General features: G+C 43.3%; 1 pseudogene; it reads left to right on the plus strand.

Annotated features, from left to right (window-relative positions):
- Positions 1–18,579: 18,579 nt before the first annotated feature.
- LOC102724269 (uncharacterized) lies at positions 18,580–19,286 on the plus strand (annotated as a pseudogene).
- The last annotated feature ends 833 nt before the right edge of the window (positions 19,287–20,119 follow it).

Here is a 20,119-nt window from a genome sequence, read left to right on the forward strand (position 1 = left end):
CTCCTCTCCCGTGTAAGCAAGGCAAAGTACTCCAGGCCATGGGGAGTCCCTGAAGACTCGATGAACTGCAGTGGCCACATCAGGAGGTTGCAGGTTGACCAGAACTCGCCGACACAGCAGGAGAGCAGCTTGGAACCTGCAACCTAGCCAAAACCTAGTGCCTTGGACTGGGGGAGAAAACAGGCAGCCATTCCTCTCTCTCTGCTGGCTAGAGGGGATTCTGGCTTTTCCTGCCAGAGCCACCCCTTTCCCTCCTCCTAAAGTTGATGGTGGTTCTTTAAGGAAAGGGAGAAGTGCACGGTGTGATAGGGCAGGAAGAGAAGAAAATGGAGGAGAGGAGGGGACTTTCCCATAAGCAGGCAGAAGAAAAGGCAGCTGTGGTGTGTGATGGACATGGATGTAGTGGTGTCCAATGTGGGGTCAGCCCTAGAGGAGAGACAGAGAGAGAGACAGAAAAGTGAGAGTCCTGACCCTTACGATTAACATGGGATCTGCCTGCAAATGCTGTTTAGGGCCATCGCCTCTTCCTGTACTGCTATTTTTGAGAGTGATGCTCCTGAGCCCCATGACCCAGTCAAATTTGATGTCCCCTCGAGCCAGATTCAGTGCTGGGAGTCCAGTGTGATCTGCCTGGATCTTGCTGCATTGAGAACAGGCCAGATCTTGACCCCAATACAGGGGCTGGATATGAACAGGCAACAGCTGGGTTTCTGAGTCAGAAAGACTTGGTTAATTGCTAATTGCTTAGGCGAGTAATTTAATTTTGTTGAGTCAGATTCTTCAGCTACAAAATGCAGATGACAGTACTTATTCCTCCAGGTTGTGGGGAAAATGGAGATTCTAAGCACGATGTCCATTTCACAGAAAGCTACCAAATTGGTGGCTTATTTTCCTTTCTACCTTCAGAAGTGGCTATCCCTGCCACCCAAACAGACCCTTGACTCTCAAGTGGACGGGGTCCCATTTGCACAGGGGGAGACCTTACAGCCTACGTTGAGTCTATACTTACCACTTAGTGAGCATTGTGTCTGCTCAGGGGCCTCTGTGGGCATCCGTCTCCTCTGCAGCATCTTTCCTCCCCACTGCTGGGTCTGCACATGACCCCCTCCTTGGGTTAGGCCTCTGATCAGTGATGACCTTGGTATGGTGGTGATGGTCAGTCTTGGCATCAAATGAGCCAGTTTATATCATCAGCTATTCAATAAAATACTAATCTAGGTGTCACCGTGAAAGTATTTTGTGACATTGTTATGTACGTGTTGTTACAAATGTGCATGATGCATTTACTACAGCATAGAATTTTGCCTGGGTGCCAGCGTGAAGTCTGTCCGACAGATCATAGCCATGTTAATCCCACAGTCACGGGGGCCAATTGATTAAATTATTTTATCTCCCTTGAAAACTAAAAATAAAATCCTAAGCCCCCCACCCGACTTAACAGACCCCCTGTTGGCCAACGGAACCTCAAATAAATCTTAAAATTCAGTTCTTGGCCATGACAGGACAGGAGGTCAGACATACCTCCCTGTACCTCCCTCCCTCTTATGGCTTAGACCCAACAACTGAACAGCATTAATGTTAAAATAGAGATCATGAGACTGACAGAACAGACTCTTTGTGGCAATAAGACCTCAAATTATAAACAGGACCTAGGGCCATGCCAGGCGAGCGTTAAGTCTTGTACCCTACTCTTAAAGAATTAACTAGATTCTAACTACCACATGGGTTTTATTTTTCTCTAGCAACCAAGCAAGCACTGGCTGTGAGAGAAGCAAGATTAAAACAATTACAACTCACCCAGTTCACAGACGCTGAGTAACTGATCTCCTGCCCCACTAACCTTAATGACAGCTTTCTCTGGACAAGGGACTGATTTCAGTAACTTTCTCCTGATAAGAGACCATCCTCCATGGACTCGTTCTGGCCAGTTTTGGAGGCAGTGCCTTTACAGAGGCTGAGTACCTTCATGTCCCTGCTTCACTTTTTGATGTGTAGGGCCTAATTATAATACATTTAAATGTCAAGTCTCCACCCCAGAATGAACATGCATGTTTATTGAATGTGCATGCATTAGGACCTCTTTTATGAGTATTCTCATAAAATGATATAGCTCCTCTGATATCCTATTGAGTATGTATATGTAGCCAACTCATTTGGCTCAAATTCCTGTCCTCTCCTTCCCTCCCTGGAAATGCCTGCCTCTGGCCTTGGCTGTAGGCCACACTTCCCAGCCTGTCATAATGGCCACCTTGCAGACTGCAAACCTATATAAGAAATAAAGCTCTCCTTTCTAAATTTATAAAATTGTGTGATTTTTCAGTTGATGCTCTCTTTCTACACACACACACACACGCAATTTATACAGAAGGAAATCTGGAGAATATATGTGGGAATGGATATTAAGTGTGTGGCACCATGGTGGAAGTAACATAAAGTTGGATTAGGCTAAATTTATTAATGTTGGCCCACTAAACAGAGATTCTGGACTCAGGGTTGTAGGTCAAAGCTTTAGAAAGGGCTCCAAGGGTTGGTTTGATCGGTTACTTGGTTGGTTGCTTGCTTGGTTGGTTGGTGCTTGCTTCCTTGCTTGGTTGTTTGGTTGGTTTGTTGCTTGCTTGCTTGTTGGTTGATTGGTTGGCTGTTTGCTTATTTGTTTGGTGACTTGGTTGGTTGGCTGAAACAGAATCAGAGTTTACCTAAGGTACATAAAGTTGAGATGCCACAACTTCCTTGGTTTATGTGTACAGAAAGGTATGCAAAAACTCAGGGAGACTGGATTTATTATGTCAGACCTGCTCACTCACACTGGAGGGTCTACGGAACATACTCCTCACAACGATCATGAGAAAGAATATTGTGAGAGGAGCCCAGTATCCTGGAAGAGCTTTGAGCTTGTGCTCTCAGTAGGCAAAATGTTACAGCAGGAACTGCAGCCACTGGACTGGGATCTTTAAGTAAAATGAGGATAATTGAATCCTGGGGTGGCAGGGAACATGGGCTGTCCTTAATCACCAAAGATGAGGTGGGTGTGGTCACCACAGTGGAAAGCAGTGTCAAAGCAGCAGTCAGAATGGCTTGACTCACAGACACCCACGGCATTGTGTAGTCCACGGTATCCACAGGGAGAGCTAATGGGCTGTACCAAAGTCTTAGTTGTTCTTTAAAAAATGAAGAATTCTAGGTCAACTGAATAAAAGACTAACTCAAATTAATGAAACACAGATCTAAAACCCTCAATCAATTCCCAGACTTGAGCCAGTTCACAGGCCCACAACCCCTTAAGTGAAGGGGAGGCTGGGTGATCTTGGGGAAGTACGCTGCTACATTGCCAAAAATTTACATTGTTAATCTTTTTCCCAGTCTTCCCCAAAGGGACCTACAGCCTTCTGCCAGGATGACTGTGACTTAAAGAAAAGAAAATTCTCAGATATTTGGGGAATTACTGGACACTGGCTCTCATTTGACACTATTATCACTATGTTGCCTAGGATGGATTCATGCTCCTGGGTTCAAGCAGTCCTCCTACCTCAGCCTCCCAAAGTGCTGGGATTACAGACATGAGCCACTGTGGCCAGCAGAGCTTTGAAACTAGAACATGGAGGTCCAGTGGTAAAGATTTGACAAGTCTGGGAAGAGATTGGGCCAAGGCAATGTTGATGATTCTTTTTTTTTTTTTTTTTTTTTTACAACAGAGTCTTGTTCTGTTGTCTAGGCTGGAGTGCAATGGTGCGATCTCGGCTCACTGCAACCTCTGCCTCCGGGGTCCAAGCAATTCTCCTGCCTCAGCCTCCTGAGTAGCTGGGATTACAGGTGCCCACCACCACACCAGGCTAATTTTTTATTTTTTTGTTTTTTTTGAGACAGAGTCTCACTCTATATCGCCCAGGCTGGAGTGCAGTGGTGCAATCTGGGCTCACTGCAAACCCCGCCTCTCAGGTTCATGCCATTCTTCCGCCTCAGCCTCACGAGTAGCTGGGACTACAGGTGCCTGCCACCGTGCCTGGCTAATTTTTTGTATTTTTAGTAGAGACGGGGTTTCATTTCACCATGTTAGCCAGGATGGTCTTGATCTCCTGACCTCATGATCTGCCCACCTCGGCCTCCCAAAGTGCTGGGATTACAGGGATGAGCCACCATGCCCAGCCACACCAAGCTAATTTTTGTATTTCTTTTTTTAGTTGAGACAGGGTTTCACCATGTTGGCCAGGCTGGTCCCTGACCTTGTGATCCACCCGCCTCGGCTTCCCAAAGTGCTGAGATGACAGGCGTGAGCCACCGCGCCTGGCCAATGTTGATGATTCTAAACAGCAGCCGCTAATGTGAAAACCATCCAACTGGAAGCCCTGGCCTTGCCCAGAGGACACAGTCTGGGTGGTGGGCAGAGACTTCAGCTGCCTTCCAAGGCAAGCAGCTCCTTGCTGCCCGCTTGCTGGGGATTTTACTTACAGGGCAGAAGCTGGCAGGTGATTTGGGGGCAGGAATTGCTTCCTGGATGGTATAGGATGAACCACACTCCCCAGGAAGGCACTCATCCTGGTGGCCTAACAGAAGCAGCCCTCACCCCAAAAGGCAATGCTGCTCCACTAGTTTTATGGGGTGACTCCTTCCTGTAGGTTCCTTCCAGCTTTACCAGAAACACAGAACATCTTTCCTGACAGGGCATTGGTTTTGTTTTTGAACAGAGAGATCCTTCTTTTAAAAAGTTAGGGTTTTGGCCGGGCGCGGTGGCTCACGCCTGTAATCCCAGCACTTTGGGAGGCCGAGGCGGGCGGATCACGAGGTCAGGAGATCGAGACCATCCTGGCTAACACGGTGAAACCCCGTCTCTACTAAAAATACAAAAAATTAGCCGGGCGTGGTGGCGGGCGCCTGTAGTCCCAGCTACTCGGGAGGCTGAGGCAGGAGAATGGCGTGAACCCGGGAGGCGGAGCTTGCAGTGAGCCGAGATCGCGCCACTGCACTCCAGCCTGGGCGACAGAGTGAGACTCCGTCTCAAAAAAAAAAAAAAAAAAAAAAAAAAAAAAAAGTTAGGGTTTTTTTTTGTTTTTTTTTTTTTTTTTTTTTTTGTAATGGAATCAACCTAGGTCCTAAGCCTAGCAGGTTGTTATTATTATTTTTATGATTATTTTTTGAGATGGAGTCCCACTCTGTGGCCCAGGCTGGAGGGCAGTGGCACGATCTCAGCTCACTGCAATGTCTGCCTCCTGGGTTCAAGAGATTCTCCTGCCTCAACCTACAGAGGAGCCGGGATTACAGGCATGCACCACCATGCCCGGCTAATTTTTGTACTTTTAGTAGAGATAGGGTTTTGCCATGTTGGCCAGGCTGATCTCAAACTCCTGACCTCAGGTGATCCACCCACCTCAGCCTCCCAAACTGCTGAGAATACAGGTGTGAGCTGCCATACCCAGCCACAGGTTATTTTTGCTGATCTTCTCCCTCCTCCCACCCTCCACCCTCAAAGAAAATGCGGTACATCTACACCATGGACTACTACGCAACCCTGAAAAGGAACAAAATCATGGTTTTTTTTTTTTGTTTTTTGTTTTTTTTTTTTGCAGCAACATGGATGTAGCTGGAGGCCATTATTTTTTTTAATTATTTTTATTATTTTTTCTATTCTACTTTAAGTTCTGGGGTATATGTGCAGAATGTGCAGGATTGTTACATAGATATACATGTGCCATAGCGGTTTGCTGCACCCATCAACCCATCATCTACATTAGATATTTCTCATAATGCTGTCCCTCCCCCAGTCCCCCACCCCTGCAATAGGCCCCAGTGTGTGATGTTCCCCTCTCTGGGTCGATGTGTTCTCATTGTTCACTTCCCACTTATGAGTGAGAACATGCACTGTTTGGTTTTCTGCTCCTGTGTCACTTTGCTGAACATGAGGGTTTCCAGCTTCATCCATGTCCCTGCAAAGGACATGAACTCATCTTTTTCATGGCTGCATAGTATTCCACAGTGTCTATGTGCTACATTTTCTTTATCCAGTCTATCACTGATGAGCATTTGGGTTGGTTCCACATCTTTGCTATTGTGAACAGTGTGGAGGCCATTATCTTAAGTAAATTAACAGAATGCTGCGTGTTCTCACTTATAAGTGGGAGCTAAATGTTGCGTATATGTAGACACAGAGAAGGGAACAGATATTGGGGTCTAGTTAGGGGGAGAGAGGAAGGTAGAAGGACAAGAGTTGAAAAAACCAACTGTGGGGTATTATGCTCACTACCTGGGTGATGGGATCACTCATACCCCAGACCTCAGCATCACACATTGTACCCATGTAAGAAACCTGTACATGTACCTCCCGAATCCAAACTGCTCCACCATTTGCACCAGCAATTCCAAGACTGGGCATCTACCCAAAGGAAAAGAAGTCATTCTACCAAAAAGACACACGCATGGTAAAGTTCCTTTTTTGTTTGTTTTTTGAGATGGAGTCTCGCTCTATTTCCCATGCTGGAGTGCAGTAGCAATCTCGGCTCACTGCAACCTCTGTCTCCAGGGTTCAAGTGATTCTCCTGCCTCAGCCTCCTGAGCAGCTGGGATTACAGGCATGCACCACCATGCCTGGCTAATTTTTGTATTTTTAGTAGAGACAGGGTTTCACCATATTGACCAGGCTGGTCTCGAACTCCTGACCTCAGGTGATCTGCCCACCTTGGCCCTCCAGAGTGCTGGGATTACAGTGCCTGGCCCTGTAAGGTTCATCACAGCACGACTTACAATAGGAAAGTCATGGAATCAACCTAGTTGCCCATCAGTGGGGTACCGGATAAAGCAAAAGTGGTTCTTCTACAGCATCGAATACTACACAGCCATGAAAAAGAATAAAATCATGTCCTTTGCAGCCACATGGATGTAGCTGGAGGGCATTATGCTTAATGAATTAACACAAGAACAGAAAATCAAATACCACATGTTCTTGACTGGATAAAGCAATTGTGGCCCTTCTACACCATGGAATACTGCACTGCCATGAAAAAGAATAAAATCATGTTTTTGCAGCCACATGGACACAGCTGAAGGGAATTATGCTTAGTGAATTAACGCCAGGAAAAGAAAATGGAATACCACATGTTCTCCACTAGATAAAGCAAATGTGGTCTTTCTACGTCATGGAATACTACACAGCCATGAAAAAGAATAATGTCATGTCCTTTGCAGCCACATGGACACAGCTGAAGGACATTATGCTTAGTGAATTAATGCCAGGAACAGAAAATGAAATACTACATGTTCTCAACTGGATAAAGCAAATGTGGCCCTTCTACACCACGGAATACTACACAGTGATGAAAAAAATAAAATCATGTCTTTGCAGCCACATGGATGCAGCCAGAGGGCATTATGCTTAGTGAATCAATATGAGGAACAGAAAATCAAATACCACATGTTCTGCACTAGATAAAGCAAATGTGGTCCTTCTGCATCATGGAATACTACACAGCCATGAACAAGAATAAAATCATGCCCTTTGCAGCAACGTGGATGAAGCTGAAGGGAATTATGCTTAGTGAATTAATGCCAGAAACAGAAAATCAAATACCACATGTGCTCAATTAGATAAAGTAAATGTGATCCTTCCGCATCATGGAATACTACACAGCCATGAACAAGAATAAAATCATGCCCTTTGCAGTCACATGGATGAAGCTGAAGGGCACTATGCTTAGTGAATTAACGCCAGGAACAGAAAATAAAATACCACATGTTTTTGCTTATAGGTGGGAGCTAAACATTGCCTGCACCTGGACACAATGAAGGAGCACCACAGACCCTCAGGACTAATAGAGTAGGAAGCAGGGGCGGGGGTACAAGAGTTGAAAAACTACCCTGAGATTCTTTGAATTTCAGGCAGAAGGCAGCAACTGGAGAGATCTTTGGGTCACGGATTTTTCTGTTGCATTTTCTTGCTTGTTTGTTTTCTCTCTCTCTCTCTCTCTTTTTTTTTTTTTTTGAGATGGAGTCTCACTCTGTGACCCAGGCTGGAGTGCAGTGGTGCAATCTTGGCTCCCTGCAACTTCTGCCTCCTGGATTCAAGCAATTCTTCTACTTCAGCCTCCCAAGTAGCTGGGACTACAGGCACCTGCCACCACACCTGGCTAATTTTTGTATTTTTAGCAGAGACGGGGTTTCACCATGTTGGCCAGGCTGGTCTCGAACTCCTGACCTCAGGTAATCTGCCTGCCTTGGCCTCCCAAAGTGCTGGGATTACAGGCATGAGCCACTGCGCCTGGCCCTCTTCTTATATATTTCTAGAACTCCTCTCGAATTTGGGGTTTGTTTTTCTTAATTACAAGGAATCAAGTTGAATCATTAGTGCATATATAAATATACATTTTATTTTTAGTACACATTATATACCTCAGGAATGTACAATGCTCAGTGCCTGGGTGACGGGATTATTCATACCCCAAACCTCAGCATTGTACAATATCCCCAGGACACAAAGCTGCCCATGGATCCCCTGAATCTATAATTATAATAATAATAATAATAATAATAATAATAATAATAATAATAATAAAAAGTGACTTTGTCATTCGCAGGGAAATGTGAATGACATTCACTCTGCCTCTCAGGCCCTTGGATTCCCAAAGTTTGTTTTCATCACGCCCAGGGGACACTCAGAATCTCGTTTGCAGAACACGGGTTGTTTTTCTTAGAAACGCCTTGCAAAACAAAATAGGAAGCAAAATCTTTCTCACTCCTTCCACTCCATAATAGACAAAATAAAATGAGGGGGCAGGAATCCAGAGACTTTGACCACAGTTGGCAGATTTATTGTGGTACAGACATGAAGGCAAGCAGTGTTCTCTCTGATTCTACGAACCGTACAGCCCGGGCCAGCTGCCTTCTGCTTTCTGGATGGTGCAGGCGTGAGCTCCAAGCCCAAATTTCACTGGAGCTCCAAGAATCGAGCCTGGCCCAGGCACTCACTGCACGGGGGCCAAGCGTGAAGCCAGTGATCACTCCAGCAAGGTAACAGGACAGCTTGGTGATCCTTCTTGCCGGCCACAAAAGGTTATAGCCAGAATTCCACCGAATGTGGTCTTTCTGTGTCCCTCCCCAGACAGTGAAGCTGCACAAACCTGGGGGTGGGGGGTGGGGGGTGCTGACCTCAGTGGGGTGTCCTGAAGAGGCAGGAACCAGGGTTTACAGGGTGCAGATCCTACTGAAGCAAATGGACGTGGCATCCGCGGGCAGAGCTGGCTGTGGTGTCCCCCCTCTGCCTACGGTGTCACCAAATGTACCCAGAGACCGCTTGTAAACCTGGAGGGTGTGCTAACATCAGTGGGGTGTCCTGGAGAGGCAGGAACCTGGGTATCCACGGTGCAGATCCGACTGAAGCAAATGGACGTGGCATCCGCGGGCAGAGCTGGCTGTGGCATCCCCCCTTCTGCCTGGGGTGTCACCACATTTCACTGAGAGACCCCTTCTAAACCTGGGGAGAGTGCTGACCTCAGTGGGGTGTCCTGGAGAAGCAGGAACCAGGGTTTACAGGATGCAGATCCTACTGAAGCAAATGGACGTGGCATCCGCGGGCAGAGCTGGCTGTGGCTGGCCTTCCAGCCTGGATGTCTCCCCCCCACCTGGGGTGTCACCAGATGCACCCAGAGACCCCTTCTAAACCTGGGGGGATGTGCTGACCTCAGTGGGGTTTCCTGGAGAGGCAGGAAGCTGGGTTTCCAGGGTACATATCCTACTGAAGCAAATGGACGTGGCATCCTTGGGCAGAGCTGGCTGTGTCTGGCCTTCCAGCCTGGACGTCTCCCCCACTGCCTGGGGTGTCACCAAATGCACCCAGAGACCTCTCTTCTGAAAGCCCATTCATGGGAAGCCTCCAGGTCTCCTCAGCAGGCAGCATCACGTCTGATTTAACTGCGTTATCAGGTAATGCAGGCCTGTTCTACCTGTGTGCGTGAGCGCATGTGTGCCGTGTGGGAGTGTGTGTGTTGATGTGGGTGTGGGTGTGTGCTTGTGTGGCTGTGTGTGTGTGTGCCTGTTTATGTGATGATGAGTGTGTCTGTGAGTCTGTAAGACAATGTGTGTTTCCATGCGTGTTTCTGTGTGAGCGTGCATTCCTGTGTTTTATGGAAGTGTGTTTTTGTGATGGTGTTTTTGTGTGCCCCTGCGTTTATCGTATTTGTCTGTTTGTGAATATGAGTGTATGTGTGTGAATCTGTATGGCAATGTATAAATTCTTTTTTTTTTTTTTGAGATGGAGTCTCGCTCTGTCACCCATACTGGAGTGCAAAGGTACAATCTCAGCTCACAGCAACCTCCGCCTCCCGGGTTCAAGCAATTCTTCTGCCTCAGCCTCCTGAGTACCTGGGATTACAGGCACCCACCGCCACATCTGGCTAATTTTTCTTTTTTGATACGGAGTCTCGTTCTGTCGCCCAGGCTGGAGTGCAGTGGCATGATCTTGGCTCACTGCAACCTCTGCCTCCCGGGTTCAAATGATTCTCCTGCCTCAGCCTCCTGAGTAGCTGGGATTACAGGCATAAGCCACTACATCTGGCTAATTTTTGTATTTTTGAGTAGAGACGGGGTTTCACCATGTTGGCCAGGCTGGTCTGGAACTCCCGACCTCAAGTTATCTGCCCGCCTCGGCCTCCCAAAGTTCTGGGAGTACAGGCGTGAGCCACCTTGCCCGGCCCCAGTGTGTGAATTTTTATGTTTGTGTGTCCACATGATTATGTGAGTCTTTTTGTGACTGTGTTTCCATGAGTGTGTGACTGTATTTATGTGTTTGTGTGTGCTTGTGTGATTCTGAGTGTGTGTATGAGTGTGTATGACATATATGAGTGTCTATGTGGGTGAGTAGCCATCCACGTGTTTATATGAGAGTGTTTGCATGTTTCTGTTTATGAGTGACTTTGTATGTATACGTGTTTGTGTGCTTTGTGAGAATGTCAATGTGCATGTGCACCCACGTGTGCAAAAAACCCACACATTTTTGTAATTGTGTTTGTGTGTCCCTGCATTTGTGTGAGTGTGCATGTCTTCGTGTGTCCATGTGTTTCTATGAGTGTGTTTTGTGATTCTTTGTGTTGATGTGTGTTTGTGTAAGTGTGTGGTTGCATTTGTGTCAGTGATTCTGGAGCAGGTGAGCTGATCACAAGTCTGAGCCGAGAATCCATGGAGCTCATTTACAACAGAAGCCGGGACCCTGTGCAAATCCTTCTGAAATATCCCCGGTTTACAGAGCTCCTAGGGGTGGGGAAGAAAAATTCCCTGACTTTTCGGCCTCAGGGAAAGAGAGAGATACCCCGCTGGCCATACGCCTCTGCTGTTTCTCAGAAAACAGGTGGGGTATCACTCTTTCCCAAATGACGGTGATTTTAAGAACGGTTCACCTTTTGAAGAGACGTTTCTGCCCTGGCGATCCATACATATTGAACCCAAATGAATATTTTTTAATTAAAAATTTTTATATAAATATACATTGTGCATACTTTATATTAATATATTGATATAAATAAATATATTTTATTAATATAAACATGATTTTTATAGTTCATATAAATAAAGTTATATATAGTGTATATGTAAAATATACTTTTATTTGTGATACATAATTTTATAGATTAAATTTTATATACTAAGCAAAGTTATATGTGATATATACATGCCATATAACATCATTTATATAATATATCTTTATGTAAATAAGTATATAATAAAATTGATCTTATTATATTTGTTAATACGTAATTATGTATATATACTATGTAAAAATAAAATTATATATTGTATGTGCATAATTATATTTCTATAAATACACGCTTATGTGTGTATTTATACATGAATGCCTGTGTTTGTGTGAGTACATCAGTGAGTGCATGAATGTGTGTGTGTGCATGTGTGCCTGTGTTTGTGTGAGTGTAAGAGTGTTGTACATTTATACACACACATTTTGTTTTCTGGTTAATAACAAGATCTATCTTTGATTTAGGATATGAAGAATTCTTATAAGCAACCCCCCCACACAAAATTTGTATTTATTTTAAAATATTCTTAAAATATGGGTTATTTTATTTTTGCACAAACAGACAAGAGTGTTTTTTCTTTCCAAAACTTTTATTTCAAATTCTGACCCTGAGGAGCAGAAAAAGAAGAAAACATTGTGTAACCTTATATACATTAGAAACATAAGTAGTTACTAAATGCAATACAAATTTTGACAACATGCATTTAGGAAAAATGAGGAATTCATACTCGTAGCTGCCTCAATATTGAACTTTCTAAAGTTTAATTTTTTTTATTAAAAAATATTCATTTGGGTTCAATATGTATGGATCTCCAGGGCAGAAATGTCTCTCCAAAAAGTGAACCACTCTGAAAATCACCGTCATTTGGGAAAGGGTGATGCCCCAGCTGTCTTCTGAAAAATAGCAGAGGCTTCCGGCCAGTGGGGTGTCTCTCTCTTTCCCTGAGGCCGAAATGTCAGGGAATTTTTCTTCCCCACCCCTAGGAGCCCAGTAAATGGAGAATATTTCAGAAGGATTTGCACAGGGTCCTGGCTTCTGCTATTTATGAGCTCCATGGATTCTTGGCTCAGGCTTGTGATCAGCTCACCTGCTCCAGAATCACTTCCCATCTTAGCTTCTGGGCTAAGACACCTCAAAACCAGCAAAGGAAAGTCCTCACTGGTCAACGCGTCCATCCCAACTCCCCCATCTCCCTTTAGGGTGGGTTTGGGGTTCGGGACTGCTTTACTGTTCCTTTCAAAGCAGACTGGGAGGTAAGATTTTATTCTGCTTCCAGAGGTTCAGGATTTCTGCAGACGGTCAGCAACTCTTTGCATCCTACTGGTAAAAGTTTTATATACTTTGTATTTATATAAATATGCATTGTGTATATTTTATATGAATAGATTGATACAAATTATTTTATTAACTTAACCATATGACTTTTATATTTTTATATAAATAAAGTTATATGTAGTGTATATGTAAAATACTTCTATTTCTAATACATAATTTTATAGATTAAATTTAATATATTAAGCAAAAATATATGTAACATATATAACATATAACATCATTTATATAATATATAACTTAATGTAAATAAGTATATAAAATTGATATTATTATATTTGTTAATACATAATTATGCATATATACTGTGTAAAAATAAAATTACATATTGCATATGCATCATTATATTTCTATAAATACAATTATATACTATATATAATTATGTATAATTGTATAATAAAATTATATAATAAATTTTGAAACGTTATAAATTATTATACATAGTATTTTATTGTATTAAATTTAGAAATGTGTTATATGTAATAAAATTTTATTATAATAAATGTAGATTATATAAAATTTTATTTATAATAAATTACCTTATGTATAATTATAATATGAGAAAATAATTATATATCATTGTATTATAATAAATTTAGAAATGTTATACATTATTATATATAAAATTTCATTATATTAAATTTAGAAATATATGTAATAAAATGGTATTATATTAAAATTTTTATGTAACATTTTATTATACATGTATAATTTTATATAATATTTTATAATATATAGAATATAAGTACAAAAATATTTATATACAGCTACACGTAATATAAATACATCAGTGTAAGCTGTTTTGTGTGTGTGAGATGAAGTCTCGCTCTGTTGCCCAGGCTGGAGTGCAGCAACACGATCTCGGCTCACTGCAACCTCTGCCTCCTGGGTTCAAGCGATTCTCCTGCCTCAGCCTCCCGAGTAGCTGGGATTACAGGCATGCACCACCACACCCAATCAATTTTTGTATTTTTAGTAGAGATGGGGTTTCACTGTGTTAGCCAGGATGGTCTCAAATTCCTGACCTCAGGTGATCCACCCGCCTCGGCCTCCCAAAATGCTGGGATTACAGGCATGAGCCACAGTGTAAAATACTAGCTATTAAAAAATAAATATATATATATACTGCAACAGCTGATTTGTCTGGAAGAGTTTGGTCAGAAGACAGTGTATTAAGAAGACTGTGAGTCTCCAGAGGAATATAAGAATATACATCATGTTGATATATTATATATAACATAAATAGCTAACTACATCTGTGTATATAGTATAAACAAAAGTACAAAAATATTTGTATATAACTATATGTAATATAAATATATCAGTGTAAGATATTAGCTATTAAAAAATATATATATAGAGAGAGAGAGAGAGAGAGAGCAACCGGTGATTTGTCTGGAATATTCTAGTCAGAAGACAGTGTATTAAGAAGACAGTGAGTCCCCAGGAGAATACAAGAATGTGCATCATGTTAATATATTATATATAATATAAATACCTCACGACATCTGTATGTATAGTATAAACATAAAGTACAAAAATATTAGTATATTACTATATGTAATATAAATATATCAGTGTAAGATATTAGCTATTAAAATATACATATGTGTGTATGTATGTGTATATGTGTATATAAATATTATATATATATATAGTAACTGCTGATTTGTGTGGAAGACTTTGGTCAGAAGACAGTGTATTAAGAAGACAGTGGGTCCTCACAGGAAAATAAGAATATACATCATGTTTATATTATATATAACATAAACAACTAATTACATCTGTATATAGAGCACAAACATAAAGTACAAAAATATTTGTATATAATCATATGTAATATAAATATACCAGTGTAAGATATTAGCTATTAAAGTATACATGTGTGTATGTATGTGTATATGTGTACATATAATATATATACATATATAACATATATAATATATAAGATATAGCATAATATATTATATATAATATGTAATGTGTAACATATATTATATAATTAATATATAATATATAATATATTCTATAATTAATATATAATATATAATATATTCTATGCAATAAAATATATAGCATATATATATATATAGCAACAGCTGATTTGTCTGGAAGAATTTGGTCAGAAGACAGTGTATTAAGAAGACAGTGAGTCCCCAGAGAAATATAAGAATATACATCATGTTTATATTATATATAACATAAATAACTAACTACATCTGTATATATAGCATAAACATAAAGCACAAAATTATTTATATATAATATAAATATATCAGTGTAAGATATTAGCTATTAAAAAATATATATATATAGCAACCAGTGATTTGTCTGGAAGACTGGTCAGAAGACAGTGTATTAGGAAGACAGGCAGTCTCCGCAGGAAGCATGGTGCAGGTGGGATCTGGAGGTGACTCTGGGCTGCCAGAAGACGCCCCACTGCTTTGCGGCAGACACAGGTGGAGAGGTCCTCTCTGTAGCTTCAGCGTGGACACTGTGTGTGTCTTGCTGTGGGAACACTTCTTTCTGCTTCCCTCTCCACTGTGACCCCATCACACTCACTGACCTGCCCTCCTCCTTCCTCTCGCTCTCCGGGGCCCCTGTGGAAAGAGGGTCTTCCCTCCGTGCAGCAGGAACCCCCAGGACCATCCCCATGCTCCTGGGTTCTGAACTTCAGGGACATATGATCCTACCTGACCGGGCACAGGCTCTGTTCACCCTCAGGAACCCCTGTCCTCCCAGGCCACCGTGGACTGGAGAACTGGCCTCCTGAAAATCCAGAGAGAACTTAGCACTCACAACTTCTTTCTTTTTTTCTTTTTTCTTTGAGACGGGATCTTGCTCTTTTCCCCAGGCTGGAGTGCAATGGCATGATCTCAGCTCACTGCAACCTCCTCCTCCCAGGTTCAAGCAGTTCATCCTGCCTCTGTCTCCCGAGTATCTGGGATCACAGTCATCCACCCCCGCGGCCAACTAATTTCTGTATTTTTAGTAGAGACGGGGTTTCACCATGTTGGCCAGGCTGGTCTCGAACTCTTGACCTCAAGTGATCCACCTGCCTCGGCCTCCCAAAGTACTGGGATGACATATATTAGCATGATGTATATTCTTCTATTCCTCCGGGGACTCACTGTCTTCTTGGGCAGTAAACCACTGTGCCCGGACTTCTCTGTCCACATCTGCACACCTCTAAAACTCTGTAGATTCTGAATTGTTTTTCCTTTTGCACAGAATGAGAGGAACTGAAGTCGGGAGGCCCAGCCCCAACACGGTCCCTGTGGCTCTGTGCTCAGGCGGTTTACGGCTGAGAAGGACTTGGGGGGTTGAGGGCTTCCTATCAGCCCAGGAGACATTACCCGGGTCTGGGAAGCCTGCTCTGCATTTGTGGGTCTCGAATTGTCTGTTGCATTTACCTGCCTCATTATTTTTTCTTCCTGTCTCTCTTCTTACATATTTCTTTCGAATTTGGAGCTTGTTTTTCTTAACTACAATCAACTTGAATCATTACTGCATATATAAATATAAATTTTATATTGAGTAGACATTATATACTCAATCTACTACACATTCCAACACGGGCCATATCTAAGACGAATATTTATATTTAATGTTTAAAATATGTTTACATTTCATACAGAAAAATATATTTATATTTAATATATATGTGTATATTTAATACAGGAAATATATATTTATATTTAACATATAAAAATATATGTTTATATTTAATATGGGAAATATATGTTTATGTTTAATATACATAATACATGTTGATGTTTAATATAGAAAATGTATAGTTATATTTACTATGCAAAATACATGTTTATATTTAATATAGAAAATATGTTTATATTTAATGTACAGGATACATATTTATATTTAATATAGAAAATACATATTTATATTTAACATATACAGTATTTATATTTAATGTATAAAATATGTTTACATTTAATGTGCTGAATATATGCTTATATTTAATGTCTAAAATGTCTATATTTAATGTATTGTATACATTAAATGTACCAAATGTATTCTTATATTTAATGTATAAAAGATGTTTATATTTAACATATAAGATATGTTTACATTTAATGTATAAAATGTTTATGTTTGATGTATAAAAGATGTTTATATTTAACGTATACAATTTATATTTAATGTACCAAATATATTATTATATTTAATGTCCAAGCCAGCCAAGCCAGTCAGCCAAGCCGGCTAAGCCACCCACCCAGCCAAGCCAGCCAAGTGAGCCAGCTAGCCAGCCAGCCAAGCCAGCCAAACCAGCCAAGCCAGTCAGCCAGCCAAGCCAGCCAAGCCAGACAGCCAGGAAAGCCAGCCAAGCCAGCCAAGCCAGCCAAGCCAGCCAAGCCTCCAGCCAGCCAAGCCAGCCAAGCCAGCCAGCCAGGCAAGCCAGCCAAGCCTGCCAGCCAGCCAAGCCAGCCAAGCAAGGCAGCCAGCCAAGCCAGCCAGCCAGCCCAGCCGCCCCAGCCAGCCAAGCCAACCCAAACAGCCAAGCCAGCCAAGCCAGCCAGCCAAGAAAGGAAAGCCGGCCGGCCAAGCCAGCCAAGCCAATCAGCCAGCCAAGCCAGCCAAGCCAGCCAGCCAGCCAAGCCAGCCAAGGCAGCCAAGCCAGCCAAGCCAGCCAGGCAGCCAAGCAAGCCAATCCAGCCAGCTAGACAAGGCAGCCAAGCCAGCAGGCCAAGCGAGCCAAGCCAAGCCAGCCAAGCCAGCCAGCTAGCCAGCCAAGCCAGCCAAGCCAGCCAAGCCAGCCCAGCCAGCCAGCCAGCCAGCCGAGCCGGCCAAACCAGACAGCGAGCCCAGCCAGCCCAGCCAGTCAGCCAGCCAAACCAGCCACCCAGCCAAGCCAGCCAGCCACCCAGCCAAGCCAGCCAAGAGACCCAAGCCAGCCATGTCCCACGGCCAGCCAAGTCAGCCAAGCTACCTGGACAGCCAAACTAGGCAAGCCAGCCAAGCCTGCCAGCCAGCCAAGCCAGCCAAGCCAGCCAAGCAGCCAAGCCAGCCAGCCAGCGAAGCCAGCCAAGACAGCCAGCACACTCACACACACACACTCACACGTACACACACTCACCACCCCATGCCAAGAAGATACACAGAAAACTCACTCACCTTTCACTTGAGTTTGCAAATTTGGAGCTGACTTAATGAAGGAAAAAAAAATTGCAGCTACAAAGTAACACAGAGCCAATGAAAAGACAAAAACCACCATTAGATTTTCTTCTTTTCTAAAGTTTTATTTTATTTTTAAGAGTCATCGTTCGGATCAGGCGCAGTGGCTCACGCTTGTAATCCCAGCGCTTTGGGAGGCTGAGGTGGGAGAATCACAAGGCCAGAAGTTCAAGACCAGTCTGGGCAACATAGCAAGATCTCATCTCTTAAAAAAAAGTACAAAAGTTAACTGGACCTACTGGTGCAGACCTGTATTTCCAGCTACTGGGGAGGCTGAGGTGGAAGGATGGTTTGAGTCCAGGAGGTTGAGGCTGTACTGAGCCATGATTGCATCACTGCACACTCCAGCTTAGGCAACAGAGCAAGACCTTGTCTCAAGAAAAAAACTCCATAACGATTGTACACATTTATGACATATAATATACTGTTTCCAAGCACGTGTATATCATGTAATGACACCTCATGGTAATTATCAGATCCAGCTGCTCAGAAATCTCATTTTCCAGTGGCTGGGGAATACGCATTTTTTTTTTTTTTTTGAGACAGAGTTTCGCTCTTGTCACCCAGGCTGGAGTGCAATGGAATGATCTTGGCTCACTGCAAACTCCGCCTCCAGGGTTCAAGCGATTCTCCTGCCTCAGCCTCCCCAGTAGCTGGGATTACAGGCATGTGCCACCACGCCTGGTTCATTTTGTATTTTCAGTAGAGACTGGGTTTCATCGTGCTGGCCAGGCTGGTCTCGAACTCCTGACCTCAAGTGTTCCACCCACCTCAGCCTCCCAAAGTGCTGGGATTACAGGCGTGAGCCACCAAGCCTGGCCAACCCTCTCATCTTTCAGGGGCTTAAATAAAATTTGCTTTTCTCCCCAAAGGCGGGTCCCCACCCCATTCAGCCCAGTTTCAAAGGGTGGAGTGTAAACGGTGGGTTGCCCAATTCCTGCTGCCATGAAGTACTTCAGCTTACAGCAGAAAGCCAGGCGCAGACACCATGCTTTATTTCTATTTCTACGAACAAGAAGCGTCTCTTGCAGTCTGCAATATTTGTCGTCAAAAATTTCACTGGGTGTTGTATCAAATCAGCCACCTCTATAGAGTGTGATCGTTGACAATTTTTTGTTACATCCCGATGGCCGTTTTACCTGGACCATTTTCTTCCTTTCATGGGTGAAGCAAAACTCCTTGGTAGACTTTTTTTTTGAGACAGAGTCTCGCTCTGTCGCTCTGTTGCCCAGGCTGGAGTGCAGTGGTGCGATGTCGACTCACTGCAACCTCCGCCTCCCCCGGGTTCACACCATTCTCCTGCCTCAGCCTCCCCAGTAGCTCGGACTACAGGCACCCACCCACCATGTCCACCTAATTTTTTTGTATTTTTAGTAGAGACAGGGTTTCACCGTTTTAGCCAGGATGGTCTCGTATCCTGACCTCGTGATCCGCCCGCCTCGGCCTCCCAAAGTTCTGGGATTACACGTGTGAGCCACCGCACCAGGCCAATGTGATGATTATCTATGGATATACCCTGATCATCAGCAGGAGGAAATGAAGAGGTATTGGTTAAAAATACAAAGTTGCAGTTACGCAGGATGAATAAGTACTAATTTGTAACAATTCAGTATGAAACAGTGTGACCGTGGTTAACAAGGCTCTGCTCTATGCCTGACATCTGAGAACAGAGGAATTGAAGTCTGAACTTTGTCCAGAAGAGGATGGCTTTGTAGGCTTTGCTGAGCATGCTGAATTCACGGTTTCCGGGTCAGCCCCTGGGCTGCCCAGGGACAGGGTGGAAACCCTGCCCCAGAAAGTCCAGGAGCCAGGAACCTGCTTAGAGACACATTTCAACAAGGAAAACCACACTCAGGCCGGCCTCCTTAAAAACACATAGGCCCGGCGCGGTGGCTCAAGCCTGTAATTCCAGCACTTTGGGAGGCTGAGGCAGGTGGATTGCCTGAGTTCAGGAGTTCGAGGCTGCGGTGAGCTATGATTGCACTCCAGCCTGGGCAACAGAGTGAGACCCTGTCTCAAAGAAATAAACAAATAAATGAATAAGCAAGCAAGCAATTTTTAAGTTGAACATCAGTTCTCTACTTGAC

This window comes from Homo sapiens, chromosome 1 (genome assembly GCF_000001405.40).
Source record: "Homo sapiens chromosome 1, GRCh38.p14 Primary Assembly".
Taxonomy (NCBI): domain Eukaryota; kingdom Metazoa; phylum Chordata; class Mammalia; order Primates; family Hominidae; genus Homo; species Homo sapiens.